This window comes from Homo sapiens, chromosome 7 (genome assembly GCF_000001405.40).
Source record: "Homo sapiens chromosome 7, GRCh38.p14 Primary Assembly".
In the NCBI taxonomy this organism is placed as follows: Eukaryota; Metazoa; Chordata; class Mammalia; order Primates; family Hominidae; genus Homo; species Homo sapiens.
Window position 1 is genome coordinate 82,945,835 of NC_000007.14, and position 14,328 is coordinate 82,960,162.

General features: G+C 39.2%; 1 protein-coding gene across 7 annotated transcripts in view; it reads right to left on the bottom strand.

The window, feature by feature from the left end:
• The window catches only part of PCLO (piccolo presynaptic cytomatrix protein), a 408,873-nt gene that overhangs the window by 191,823 nt on the left and 202,722 nt on the right, over positions 1–14,328 (bottom strand). For 5 of the 7 annotated variants that reach the window (NM_033026.6, XM_047420210.1, XM_047420212.1 and 2 more), the window contains exons 5-6: positions 6,022–11,101; positions 3,642–5,656 (exon numbers count right to left, since the gene is read on the bottom strand). The exons of 1 other annotated variant lie outside the window; for it this stretch is intronic. In NM_033026.6, coding sequence (NP_149015.2) covers positions 3,642–5,656; positions 6,022–11,101 — 7,095 coding nt within the window. The remainder of the gene's footprint in view (positions 1–3,641; positions 5,657–6,021; positions 11,102–14,328) is intronic. One more of the 7 variants, XM_047420211.1, reaches the window with a different exon arrangement.

The following is a 14,328-nucleotide window of genomic DNA, read 5'->3' on the forward strand; positions in this document are numbered from 1 at the left end:
AACTGGAATTTTAAGGACAGAAGAGGAAATGCCAAGATTTAAAAAAATCAAGCATGACACTGAATTAAGAATAAATAATTAGGAAATGTTTAATATGTCTCAGCAGAAACTAATAAAAGGATAAGAACTATGAAATATAGAGTCAGGGCACGGGTTTAGTAAGGAGCCATCATAAAATCACTAGACTACTCGGGGACTTGTCTTATCTGTAAGGGCTTGCTAGTAGCTAAACACCATTCAACCTGTATTCAGTGTTTCAGATGCCTATATAAAAATAAACAAAGTGAAAGTGATACTTTAAATAAGGGACATATTAACTTAGATTATCAACAAGACTTGCTAAGATTTCATTGTCCAAGTACAGCAATGAAAAGATAAGCAGCCAGAGTCTTTTCAATATAAATCTTTTCCCATTCCTTCTATGATTATAATCTTCCCTTTAATAAATTTATTCAATCAATGTTGAGCACCTACTTCATGCCAGGCACTAGTCAGGCATTTAGGACTATAGTGGCAAGAGAAGCAAAATTCCTGCTCTTGTAGAGCTTATATTCTACTGGAGAAGAAAGATAATATTCAATTAAATACACAATATAATGTATTTAATAAGTAATATATACAAATTTAGAGGCAGAAATAGAGATTTATAGTAATAAGCAGACTTCTTTAGAGAACAAATTAAGAAAAGTCTCTCTGTGGAGGTAAAATTTGAGCAGAAATCTGTATGTAGGAGTCAGCATACGTATATCTGGGGAGATAGAGGCACAGACTCGTGCCCTGGGTGGGGGCAAGGTTGGCCCATCCAAAGAACAGCATGGCCTGTGGTCGGAGCAGAGTGAGGAGGGGAGAAAGTCTGGAGAGTGATCAATGAGGTCATGAAACAAGCAGAGATCACATCACATATAGCCTTGTTAAGAAATTTCTAATATATTTTGAATTTGATGAGATCCTAATAGAGTTTAAACTGTGCTGCAAGTAACATAATCTGATGTACATTTTAGAAAATCACTTAGGAGCTGTTTAGAGAACTGATGGCAGTAAGGGCAAGTGTAGAAGGAGCCTAAGGGCTGTGCACATTGTAAATAAAAGATGATGGTGGCTCTGGTCTATGATCCTCATAGCCACAGGAAGTAAATCCAAACTTTGTAAGGCAGCAGATTAGATCTCCAGTGATCTGGCCCTCACTTGCCTTTCTGATTGTATTTACAGTAAACCCTTTTCTCCCCCTCTTTGCTTTATGTCTGTTCATCAATCTGAAACTTTGTCCATTTATTCCCTCTAGTTACAATGACCTCCATTTTTCTCTCCATGGTCCAGCAGAGGTCTCAATCTTCATGACTCAGACCTCTTCTTTGCAACCTCTCCTGACACTTTCAGGAGAACAGATTGATTCAGAATCTGACAGAGTATAAAACTTATCTTTTACAGTGTATTATGTGTGTCACTGTGTTGTTTCAGTGCCTACTGAGTGGTGTAAGTTTTTTAAATCTTACTGGTCTGTGAAAATTAACAACCTGTAAACTACTGAGCTAGCCTTCTTAAATTCACATCACTATGAATATCCCTAAGAAAATTATTTTTTTAGTATAGTTAATACTTAGTAATTCACACTCATAATTAAGAAATTAATTTATTTACTTTAAAATAGACTCAAAGTATGTCTAGACATTTGCCTAGAAATTATAAAATTCACATCTTAGACTCATAGTCTCTAGAGTGTTAACAACACTGCCTGTGTATAAAATGATCTACCTGTGCATGTAATAAGACAATACCTTTGAATCTGTATACAACTATTCCATATTAAAGAATGCATTTAACTTGACCAACTGGAAAAAAGAACCAATGAATTGTGCTTTGAGGCTCAAAACACCTAGGGTTTTTCAGATTCTGGGTATTATTTGGTAATTCTACTCAACTTCCTTTATGATTAGCTTATCAATATTTCTGACACAATCAGTAATACAACCTTTACAACCCATTGTATCAATTTCCAAGTGGATACATTTCCAAATCCAAAGTGAATACTTTGTGAGGAAAAAAATATTGATAACTTGAGACTCTTTTTTAGCTGAGCTCATTTGAATTAAGGGTACAGGGATACATATTATGTAAATAGTCAATATTCCACCTGGAAAGCCTGTTCTTTCTAATAACAGAAGTCTTCACTATTACTTTGAAAATACTGCCAAAAATCATATTTCAAAGTTGTTCACATAACTCTTTAAGTGAATTTCTAGGCCAAACCTATAAAAATATATACCTACACATTATATAACTAACTTAAAAATCACTTTTCAACTATATTAATAGATTAAATTCTGGAAACAACACTATGCATAAAATAATTCTCTGTATACTGGATGAAATCTCAATACAACAGAGGTTTCCTGATTCTACAGCTATTACCTCCCTCCTTGACATGAAGACAGTTTTAGTTTTAGCTTATACTACTTTGAGAAAAAAAAAAACGTAATAACGCAATTCTACTAGAAAACTAGAAAACATAAATAAATTTATAATTTACTATTATGACCATTGATGTCTATATACCTACAAGTAGACTTACAGTCATATATCATGACATATTTTTCAGCCCACAGCCAGTGTTTAACACATATGGGTCAATGGAAATGTAACACCATCTCAGAAAAACCTACTTAGAAACTTCAGGGTTCAAAACCTAGAGCTCAGTAATCATGCATTAGGGGAACTTCTAATTTGAACAGAAGTCTTGTTCTAAATTGAGCTATTATATCTATCAATCACTTTCTGAATAGTTATGTATATTAGATTTTCTTAAGTAGGAAATATCTGCTTTAGAGCTGATTATGCACATTTCTTATTCTCTGTTATAGAGATCTTCACAGATACATCTGTATATGTTCTTCTCCCCTTGAAGCATACCTATATATTTGAAAATAATTAATTTATATTATTAAAAGAAACATGAAAAATTATTTTTGCTTCTGTGAGCACTAGGATTAAGGTTTACCTGAGTTTAGATTAATAAAGTTGCCAGAAATAAAATAAGCATGGATGGACTATGATGATTATATCACACTTTTATCTGCCTGCCTCAGAAATGTTCTCTTTTGACCAGTAAGTGTTCCAAGCCTTTTAATGAAAACATTCTGGCTGGAAGAAGAGGATACTGACCAGATAATTTCTAAGGGCTTTCCCACTAAACATCCATGGTCTAAATTCATAGTCACCTTTTGCATTATCTGTTTAATGTTTCCTATCATGCCTGAAAATGAATATTAATTATGTTTACTGAAATCACAGCTACAGTTGATATTTGGGAGATTTCGATATAAGAATAAGACTTTCAATTTCATTGTCTTAAAATAATAAACTCATTTTGCTTCACATAATGTGTTTTCTTTCTTTGGTATTTTTAAGTGAATGTATGGTTTCCTACACACACACACACACACAAGCGCACACACACACGTGTGCACACACACACGCACACACACATATACACATATATAGTGTAAATTTCTAAGGCAATAATCTTCACCCTAATCTAGTATTAGGTTTCTAAGGTACCAGGAGCCTGATCGCCTCCTAAAAGTCTGAAAACACATGATTAATAACTCATCCATTGCCTTCCAACTGAAAAGAATCACTCTTACCGTATAGCCCTCGGTATACTGAAAAGGAGCCCTGGAACTTTCGTCTGCTGTTGGACTCAGAGGCTTGGGGTCAGACATAGAACGCTGCATCATCTTGGCTGTCTTAGGACTTGCTGGGGGAACTTTAGCCATATCTGGATGCAGTACTTTCTGTGGACTTATATCATCAGGGAGGGGTTTTTCATAAGGTACAAAGGCTGATTCTAAGGCTTTGCCTGGTGAAAGTGGTGAGATGGGTGAGTAAAGGACTTTGGGGGATTTGGGTGGGGAAGGAGCCAGCTGTACTGTGGAATCTGCCCGGAGGTGAGATGAATAACCAATCTCTAAAGGTGTTGGGCGTTTCTTGTCTTTGGGTGGAGATGTGGCACTCAGATATTGAGGACTTTGTGTGTCTGAATCTGCTTCTGTTTGACATCCTAAACTGCCCCCTTTGTAAGTCTTTTCAGGTGCTGAAATGTGTTTAATTATTTCTACCTTGGCATCCACTCGTGCCCGTATGGAGGGTGTTCTTATGGTTCCAACTGGTTCAGTTTGCACAGATATCTCTGCTACCGTTTGAACTGCTATGCTGGAGACTTTGGAAAGGGGTTTGGTCTTGTCAGCCTCTGTCATGCTGTCACCATATTTCCCTACACGAGCTTTCCTCCTTGATCTAGTAGGCATATCCCACTCATCCTGATCTTCATCATCAGTTTGGACGCTTGTATCCACACTCTTTTTAGTTCTCCTTCTCCTACTCACATAGCTCCGATCTGTGGCATCTTCGTCATCCGTTTGTACACCACTGTCCACTATCTTTTTAAAACTTCGGGGATCATCTGTCATATTTTCTCCCATGTCATCATACTGTCCTCGGACTTTAGCTCCAGAACTTCTCTTTTTGGGTTGTTTTTCCTCTTTCACAACAACATCTGTTAGAGGTATTTCTGAAACAGTGCTCAGGATACCAGGTGGGGCAATGTACTGAGTAACACCATCAGACTGAACGGTGTACCATCCTTGGCTTTGTGGTATTTCAATTGCCACAACAGCTGAAGCTGTGGTGGTTGCATCTTCAGTTGCCCAAAATTGACTGCCTTCCAGAGCAGCATACTGACCTTCCAAAATTGCCTGCTCTGTAGTGGTTTGTGGAGAAGCAGTTCCAGAAGGGTCATAGTTATACTGGTAGATCTGCCGAATCTTTTGCTCCTCCAGCTGCTGGTGAAGCTGTTGTTGCAGCTGTTGGATCTGCTCAAGCTGTAACTGTTGCTGAGCTAACGTCTCCTGCCTCATCATGAACTGGGCTTGCCGCTCTTCTTCTTGCTGAAAGAGAAGGTGTTGCTTCATAGACTGCAGCTCCTCCAACTTTTTCTGAACCATGATCTTTTCTTGTTCTCGGAACCTTTGAATTTCCTGACGTTCCCACTCCAATTCCTCAGCAAAGCGCTGTTGCTTAATTTTCTCCAGTTCCAGGAGCTCACGCTCCAAGTCTAGCTGCTGCTGTTGTTTATCTTCTTCAGGGACAATTAAAAGAGCACTTTCATCTCCCACCACTTCAGGAAACACTTCGGATGCTGTGGTTAAAGTGGGAACAGAGTCTATCGTCTCAGCAGTAAGAGACTCCATAGTAATAGTTTGCAAACTGGCACTGATATCAATACCAGTTACTGCAATGTCCGTTTCAGATGCACCTGTTGTTATAAAATATGATCTAGGCATTGGCTGGCTATGGTGCATGGCAGGTAATGAAGTCACTGCATCAGCCGTATGAATACCAGACAAATCCCTCACTGTGGTGCTGAAAATGGAGCCAGGTTGTGTGGTGATAGCAAATGTAGAGGGTGTTGGAGTTGCTACTGAAGAATAGACAACACCATTAGATGACCTCAAAACACTCCCCACACAATACTGGGGTCCTGGTGGTGGTGTCATTCTTGCTGTGGAATACTGTGGGGTACTAATCCCAGCTCCTGAAATGACTTGTCGTGTTTCTGGATATGGACCTGTAGTCTTGCTTGAATAATCCATTACCTCACCTGAAATACAGGGCAGAGTTATAGTCCAGTTCCCAGAATGAATGATGCTTTTTGAGTTTGAAAACCCTCTCATCTTGATGAACATAATGAATGAGACTGCATGCAAATCCACAGGGTAACCTAATTATATGCGGAATGAAAGCAATGTTGAACATGCAGGCGCATGCAGTGATTTTGAGCAGAACAAATTTTTTTTAAAATGAAGGAACAAAAGCGCACTTGTACTCCAAAATATGCTGCTATAACATCCAAAGAAAGAGAAAAAGTAACAAAACTGGAAAAGAAGCCACATTTTCATCCTGAAATGAGATGAGGAACACCATAATGATATTTCAAGGAAAGGTCTGCTGCCACATCATACTGACCTGTAGTAACTCTCCCTGAAGTCAGATCTACTGCTGTGTCAGTTCCTTCAGAATAATCAAAAGCATTCTTACTTTTATAGAAAAAATGTCCAGCTTCTGCTAAATTTGTGTCAGACATGGAAGGCTTCATTCCCCCAATCCCTCTATAACCATATGGCCCTGATCGATCATACTGATAGTGGTCATCCCTATAACCAAAACGATCCTCAGGAAGAGTAGTTGCAGGCTGCTGTGCTGTGCAGCTCCTTCCAAATGGTAATTTATAAACCACATCACAGCACACAGCTCTTCTCCCTGCGGTTAAATCAACGGGTTTTTCATCTTCTATTATTTTGGTCATCACACTTGAAGTAGACTCATCCATTGTTACGACTGTTCTGTGAGACTTGGTTGTACTGAGATCCACTACTTCCCCATCAGTGATTCCCTGGGATACGGTGCTATCAGTCCATCCATTTGTGACACCAACAGGAGGCACAGTGACAGGTTTTGTAATAGCCAATGTCACTGCATGTGCTGGAGTACCTAGAGATAAGTTTATTGGTGCTTCTTCCCTAGCTATAGGAAAGACCTGGTCACTTGGTATCCTGTATGGGGGCTCAGCATGCTTTGATGTTGTAAGTTGGAGTGGTGTTGTCATTGCATGTTCTGCACCCACTAGGCTTTCTGTGCCTGTAGTGTAACTTGCACTAGCTGTGCATGTGACAAAGGTCACTGTCTCAGTGGCCAGAGATACAGGAGTCACTATTGATGATGTCACACTAAGATTTATAATAGAGGGTTGGACAGCACTAATTTGTTTCCCATAAACTTCATTTGCTGTGATCTGCCTTTTCACATCCATTGTAGAAGCAGAAAGATCAATACATTTATCAGTTGTTTTAACTTCTACCTTTGGTACTGTACGCAAATCAATTACATCACCAACAAGTTGCAATTTTCCATCTTCTTTATACTGAGGCTTCTCTAAATGTATGTTATCTAGAGCAAGAGGCTCTGGAGGAATTGTTATGGAAATGCTGCTGAGACCAACACTAGGAGCTGTACTTCTGGTTGCTGAAACCTCAGTCTTGGAAACTTCAGTAGTGAGAAACTGTGTAACTGATGTGGGAGCTGCTTGAAATGAAGAGGGTGCTGTGACAGGGGTAGCAGAAAATGTCTGTAAAGCTCCAGAGATGTAGAAGGTCTGTTCTGAAGAAATTGGAATTTCTACAGCTGTCACAGGAGGAACTACAGAAAACACAGGTTCAACAGAAACCAGATCTTTGGAGGGTGATCCCAAGGGCCAACTGGTAATTGCTTGACTAGCAGAAGAATCTGTTGGAGTCCCTGGTTCAGATGGCAATGTAATAACTACATAAGTTTCTGTGAGGGATTTGGAAAATCTTGGTGAAGACTTGTTGGAGTGTGGGGAAAGTGGGGAGGTAGGGGAAGGCAATTTATAATCTGCTGAAGTCACTAAATTTAAGGTCATACTTGAAGTTAAAGATAGGCCTGTTGGTTTGGGGTGTATATCTGTTGGTTTTTGTGTAGTTGTTGGAAGCTGAGGAATCACTGGTTTGGGGGCGATTGGAGGTTTGCTTGGCTCAGGCCTGTGGGTAAATACAAGTCCAGATGGAATTGAAGATGGCTTAGGAGGAACAGGAGGAGGTGCAGTAGTACATATTCTTGTAACAGGTAATCCATTACTTCTCAGAACAGCTGTGGTCTCTAGAGTAGTAACAGCATCAAACAGAGGTGTAGCTGTAGTCACTGGAGATGCAACTGTTAACTTTTTTTTAGGAAGAATAGTTGGTTTAGGTGAAGTTGGTGGAGGAAGTGGTGGGGGAGGAGGGGGTGGTGGTGGAGGAGGAGGAGGAGGGGGAGGGGGAGGAGGGGGAGGAGGTTGAGCTGATATATCCAAAGAAGAACTTCTAAAGAATGGGCGAGGTTTAGCTGGAAGAGAGGAAACAGAAGGACTGCCAGATGGTAACTGAGATGCAGGTTTTTCCTGACCAAAGGTCTCTCCAGATGTAAAGTATGTAGTTGAAAGCTGCTCTTTCATTGGAAGGGCTATTACAGAAGAAGGTGGGTGATCAAACACGGTTTCGGATAAGCTACTTTTTGTTCGTTCGGCCTCCAACTCCTTTTTATCTCTGTAAGCTTCCAAAACTTCCAGAATGATTCCATTCCCAGTTTCCTTCTTGGCTTTCTTCACTGGGTCCTTTTCAGATATAAGTAAGTCAGTAGAAACAGTGTCAGCAACTGGCCCTTCAGGTTTAGGTACTACAGATTCTATGATAGAAGATGCCATATCAGATAAGGAAATAACAATATGATCAGCACTAGCTCTACCATCTGGTGGGGCAGTCCGATCTAAAGATACACTTATTTCTTCTGGATAGTCTATAATGCTGCCTGGAAAATAAGTTGATGAAGAAATTTCCTCAGAATCTTCAAATTTAGTTATCATGTCCACTGGCTCTGTATAAACTGTGGTTATGCTATCCAGGGTAGTAATGGGTGAAGAGCTATCTGTGGTACAGACCGAAGAAACAGATGATGTGAGAGAAGGTGTGTCAGAGGGTGGGACAGATGTAGCACTTTCTGAAGGCTCCGAGTAGGTCAAAATCAGCGATTCATGGGCAATTATCTCTTGAATTTCTCTTGTATAATCGGTTACATATTCATCCTCAATTTCTTCTGTTGAAAAATGTTGGGTTATTTTAACATCTGGGATAGAGAGTGTTGCACTGCTGGTCGAATCTGTAAGAGACGCTCCTGAGAGAACACTTGATGTCAAAGAGGCATCTGGCATTCTGTCAAAGTCCATGGTGGACTCTGTCATATCCTCACCAATGGGGGCCTGGGTTGGGCTAGATCCAGGTGTTAATTGCATCTGTTGCCTCTTCATAAGTTCTTCATAGGCAGCATCAGCATCTAGTAGTTTCCTTTCTTCTTCTGTAGAAGTTACCATAGTACCCAGGTCCACTATCTCATGGCTTTCTGGGATGATAAAAGAGCTTGAAACAATATCTTCCTGAGGCACAACAGAATGTAAGCTTTCTAACTCATAAAACTCTTTCTGGAGGTCTGTAATTTTCTGCATAGGATCTTCATAAATCTGTTCTGAAAGTCTTATCTTTTGCTCTCTTCCTTTCTGCTGCATAAATCCATTTTCTTCTTCTTGCCTTGTTAGCAGACTGCCATCTACCGATCCATTGTACGTGTCTTCTACTAAAGATTCATAAATATAATCCTCTATTAGCATCCCACCATACAAAGGCTCTTTTTCAAACACTTCATCTCGTTCATTTGCAGCTGGAAAAGCTTTGTATTTGTGTGTTTTATGCATCATTTCTTCATACATCTCCTCAGCACTTTTTAACGCCTTTTGGCTACCTTCTTTCTGCATAATAGATTGCTCATCTGTTGGTGAGTATAATGAAACAGCTGTGGGCAATTTATAAACTTTTTGTACTTCTATTATTTTTTCCGGGCTTATTTCAAAACCTTCTGGGTCTGACTCTATGCTAGGTGAATATTCAGAACAAGAAGATCTATGGAGCTCCTCCATTTCTGCAGCCTGACGTAACTCTTCTGTCGGAGATGCATCTTCAATGGGAGAGAGATTACTAGGTGGTGTCTTTGGCCTTTCCCTTCTTCTCTGAGCTCGAAGTTCATCTTTGTCTTTCTTTGATTTTTTACTAGAACTCTTTCTTTGTTGCTGTTCTATTTCCCTCTGCTTTTCTTGCTCCTTTAATAATTCTTCTTCCTCTCTCAATTCTTCTTCCTCTGAAGAATCTTCAATAGTAGGCAAAAGAGGGCCATGTGGTCTGTGCCGAGCTTTGCGTTGCTGTTTGCTCTCTCCTTTTTTGTGACTCGGGCTACTGTCACTGTCCTCATCAAGTGATGATACTGATGTAGGGGATGTACCAGGAGTGAAGCTGGAAGCATGCAGACTCGAAGATCCCTCTCCCCTTGACCTATCTTCAGGTGAGTCTGTCAGGCTTTCCATTTCCAATTCTGGCTCTTCGTCAAAATACAAACTTGTTTTTTTCTGTGATGACTCTGCAGAATATTTATCTGCTATTGTACTGTTGAGCTCAATTGTTTTAAATCGGCGTAGCCCTCCTCCTCCAGTAACTACAAGTTCTTCACTTTCCTGACTTTTAGTTTCTCTGTATTTAAGTTCAGGACTTTCATCAAATGCTTCATCGTCTTCATCATGCCATGAGTGACGTCTTCCTGCATCTTCATCAATGCTTGTGCTACTTTTTCGAGTCAGTCGTCTGTGTTTCCCTGCTGTTATTTTGCCTTTTCCCTTTGTTTCTTCCTTCTTCTGGCTCTCAGTACTGCTACTAATCTCTTTGAGCTGGTTTCTGATGAACTCATCATCTTCAGAACCTGAAGCATCTTCATCAGCACTCATTTCTATGATTTGTTTTCGAATGAAGTCCTCCTCTTCCCCTGATCCTTGGCTGTCTTCCTGTTTATACTCATCACTGCTTGATGAGCCAACACTAGTTCTTCGTTTTCTTTGTGGAACAGGTGAGTTTTCACTTTCACTACTCTCTTCAACTGAATCATAAGGCTCTCTTCTAGTAGTTATGTCATCAACAAACTCAGACTTCTCTTTATGGTCCTTGCTGGAAGGAATATCTTGTTGGCTATCTTTTTTAAAAGTGTCTTTCCTTTCTTCTTGACTCTCTTTGATCTCCTCTTCTGAAATAGTAATTTCCAAGGTTTCAGATAAACTCTGAGTTTTCTCTTGGTCTTTAGGCTGTTCAGGAGAAACTTCATGGGGTTGTGTTTTCTTTTCTGACTTTTCATCAGCAAGTGTACTTGCTTGAGCTTCCAAAATAGATAGGACTGTACTTTCTAACTTAGCCAAATCTGAGGGGCTGGAAGGGCTGCTTTCTTGTGAAAAAGAGTCCTTTTTGAGTCCCTTGAGAATATCCTTTTCATCAGTTGGAATAAGACTTGGAATTTCACCAAGTGAGCTTGATATTCCATCGGAAGAATATCCCGTGTCGCTCAGACCTTGGGGGCTTTTAGGCTGCTGAGAACTTGAGGTGTCTGATTTGTCATCTTCCTTTTCCTAAGCAGGGAGATAAAGATACAGGAAAACTTAACATGGTTAAACTAAAAACATGGCCTCTCCATTACTACCAAATAACTATTAGGAACTGAAAAATAATTTTGGAAAATTTTTTCAACCATATCTCAGTATTTTTTAAAAGTTTGAGAAAAATATTGTTGATATGCGTTGGTAAGGTTAGTTTCCATTTAAACTAAATTTAATTAAATGTCAATTCTCAATGATATTTGATCTTCTTTCATAAATACTCTACCTTTTCACATTTCAATGTCATTTTCCCTCAAAAATATGATTACTTTTCTCAATAAATTTGCTTTAGGATAAAGTTTATAAATTGTGATGAAGATATTTAAAGATAAATTTTCTATTAACATAAGTTATACTTTTGGATTATGAGGTCAGGTAAAGTTCAAGAAAGCATCAGACAACGGGCTTTGTGCCTGGCTGCAAGTTGTAAGGGATGTTGGAGAATTTACTAAACAAAAAAAAAGCAAATAACATGTCATAATAACATATATGCCATGTACCACAAATAATTTTGTTATCATTCTTGTCAAATGATTCAAACAAGGCACTGCTTTTAAGAGACATTTTGAAAGTTATGAAACACTATATATACTTGGTATTATTGTTAATATCATTACTCTACATCACTTGGAATGAATGTTTAGAAATTATGTACTTTGAAAAAGTTATACAATAATTGGTCTGACTCATCAGTTCAGTTAAAGAGAAATATCCAGCTGTTATTTCTATAGAGTTGTTAATCACATTTATCTTCAGCATCTCATCTCAAAGGTGTTTCACTAATGTCACTTACAAATACCTTCTGATTTTGAAATCTTGTTTTATCTTGAAAAGCAGCTTCCTTAAACAATAAATAGCTTTTGTGAGCGGGAGCATGGGCTTTCCAGAGATCTGGGACCCTTAGCAACACACCACAACCTTGAACTTGTTGCCTTTCTTGGGCTATGATGATGCCATGACAACAATTTCGATTCAAGAATCAGAGAGGCCTTAAATAAACATTAAATACAGAGACTTGTTGCATAAAGACTTTTTTGCTAATTAAAAATATATATGAGCAAAATAAAACTGATTCAGTTAGTTGTCCTGTTTAAAGGAGAGTGTCACAATAGTCTCACAGCCTACAGAAAGGAGGGGTTAGGGGAACAGCTGCCTAAGAGCATGCTATAGCTCATTCTAGCCTGTGAGGCCACCTTAATTCCACTAAGTCTGTATCTTGTACTGTCTCAATATTTTCAGTGTGTGTTGGCATGAGCTCTTCTGATCTAACTATGGCCCAAGTAAACAGATGTACGGTTGCACAACAAACATACTCCTTCCTTCCTTCCTTCCTCCTTCCTTCTTCCTTCCTTCATCCTTCCTTCCTTCTTCCTTCCTTCCTCCCTTCTTCCTTCCTTCCTTTCCTCCCTCCCTCTCCCCATCCTTCCCTCCCTCCTTCTTTTCTTCTCCTTTTTCTAGTTAGAGTTATCAAATATAAATATTGTTGGCTTGATGCTCATTTTACATTCATTTTCATCTAAATATATACCTTTATTATGCATGGTCAATGATCTATCCTGAGCATATTACAGGGTAAAATGATTTTGCTGAATTTACAATGTTACTCAATTAAAAAAGACAGTGTGATATATTCTTAACAACTTTAGTGCAAAAACTAATGCCTACTCTTCAGTGTGCACCTAGAATTAACTATACTGTACCAATTTGAATGTCTTTCCAGTAAAGAATTTCTTATCTGCAGTTGTGAGACTATAGCAGGACGGTTGATGAGCACTTCACTCATTTCAGCTCCTTTCTCATACTGAAGTGGCAAGCAATGGTGAAGCTGCCTTCTAATAAATGCTTTCTGGATGGTTATAGTGGAGAGACATTTCCATTTCATTACATCCCAGAAAATGCCAGAGCACATTTTTTGGAATTCAGTATAATTTCTATGTCCTTCCTTGTTTATCTTTTTTTAACCCTAGCCCCATCCTCCCTTTACTGAGTTACAGTAAACACCATCATGATGGGGGTGGGGTACTTAAGCTCCTTGTGAATAAAAGGTCAAGAAAATGATCTTTCACAATCAAACTTTGATAATGTCATGTGTATTCTTATTTTTCTTCTTACTATTTTTTTTTAGATGGAGTCACGCTCTGTCACCCAGGCTGAAGTGCAGTGGCTTGATCTTGGCTCACTGCCACCTCCGCCTCCTGGGTTCAAGCCATTCTCCTGCCTCAGCCTCCCGAGTAGCTGGGATTACAGGCATGTGCCACCACGCCTGGCTAATTTTTGTATTTTTAGTAGAGACGGGTTTCACCATGTTGGTTAGGCTGATCTCGAACTCCTGACCTCGTGATCCGCCCACCTTGGCCTCCCAAAATCCTGGGATTACAGGCGTGAGCCACCGTGCCTGGCCATGTGTATTCTTTATTTTGTGTCTACATATATTAAAATATGTAACAATGTCATAAAATATGCATATATGAAAGAAATGTGACCATGGTTATATGTAACAATTCAGAGGACCATTTAAAAAGTTACGGTTTTATATAATGGATTCTGAAGGTTCTACTGATATTATACAAAACAGATTAGGACCAGACTTATATAATGTAACAAGGGAAATTAAGTGACATTAGACAGAAGATTAATACACATAAATATCAAAATACCAGCCCTGCAATCTCCCTTATGTGCCTTTTCCTTGTGTTCATGCTTTTCTTCTTCACTCAGCACCACGTCTTACCCACTTATTCCTCCTCTCACTCACTGCCTGGTCTCCTCCCTCCACACTCCTCACAGGATTTCATCATTGTTTACCTACGGTGGTGATGCTGCAATGATTTTTTTTCCCCTAAATAACTTTTGCATATTATAAGGTGGCAAGTTGGCAAAGTGTTTACTCTCCAGGCTTTTTTTCCTTTCCCTTCCAATAACCCCCTGCCATTTATTGAGCTGCAGACTGGTCAGTGAGAGGCAGTGACGATCGGAGCCCCATTTGGATCTCTTCCCATGGTGGTGTATCTTGAGGCCTTCACTAGTAGTGGAGAATGTGCCAAGACATATCTGCACTGCCAAATTTGGTTTTGCTCTTTTCACAAAAGCCTTCCATATTGAAGGCAAACAGAATATTTTTTGAATATTGTTAAAGAACTGAATTCTAGATGACATATAAAACTGTGCAAAGAAAGGATGCAGTGTTAAGTTTTTGTTTA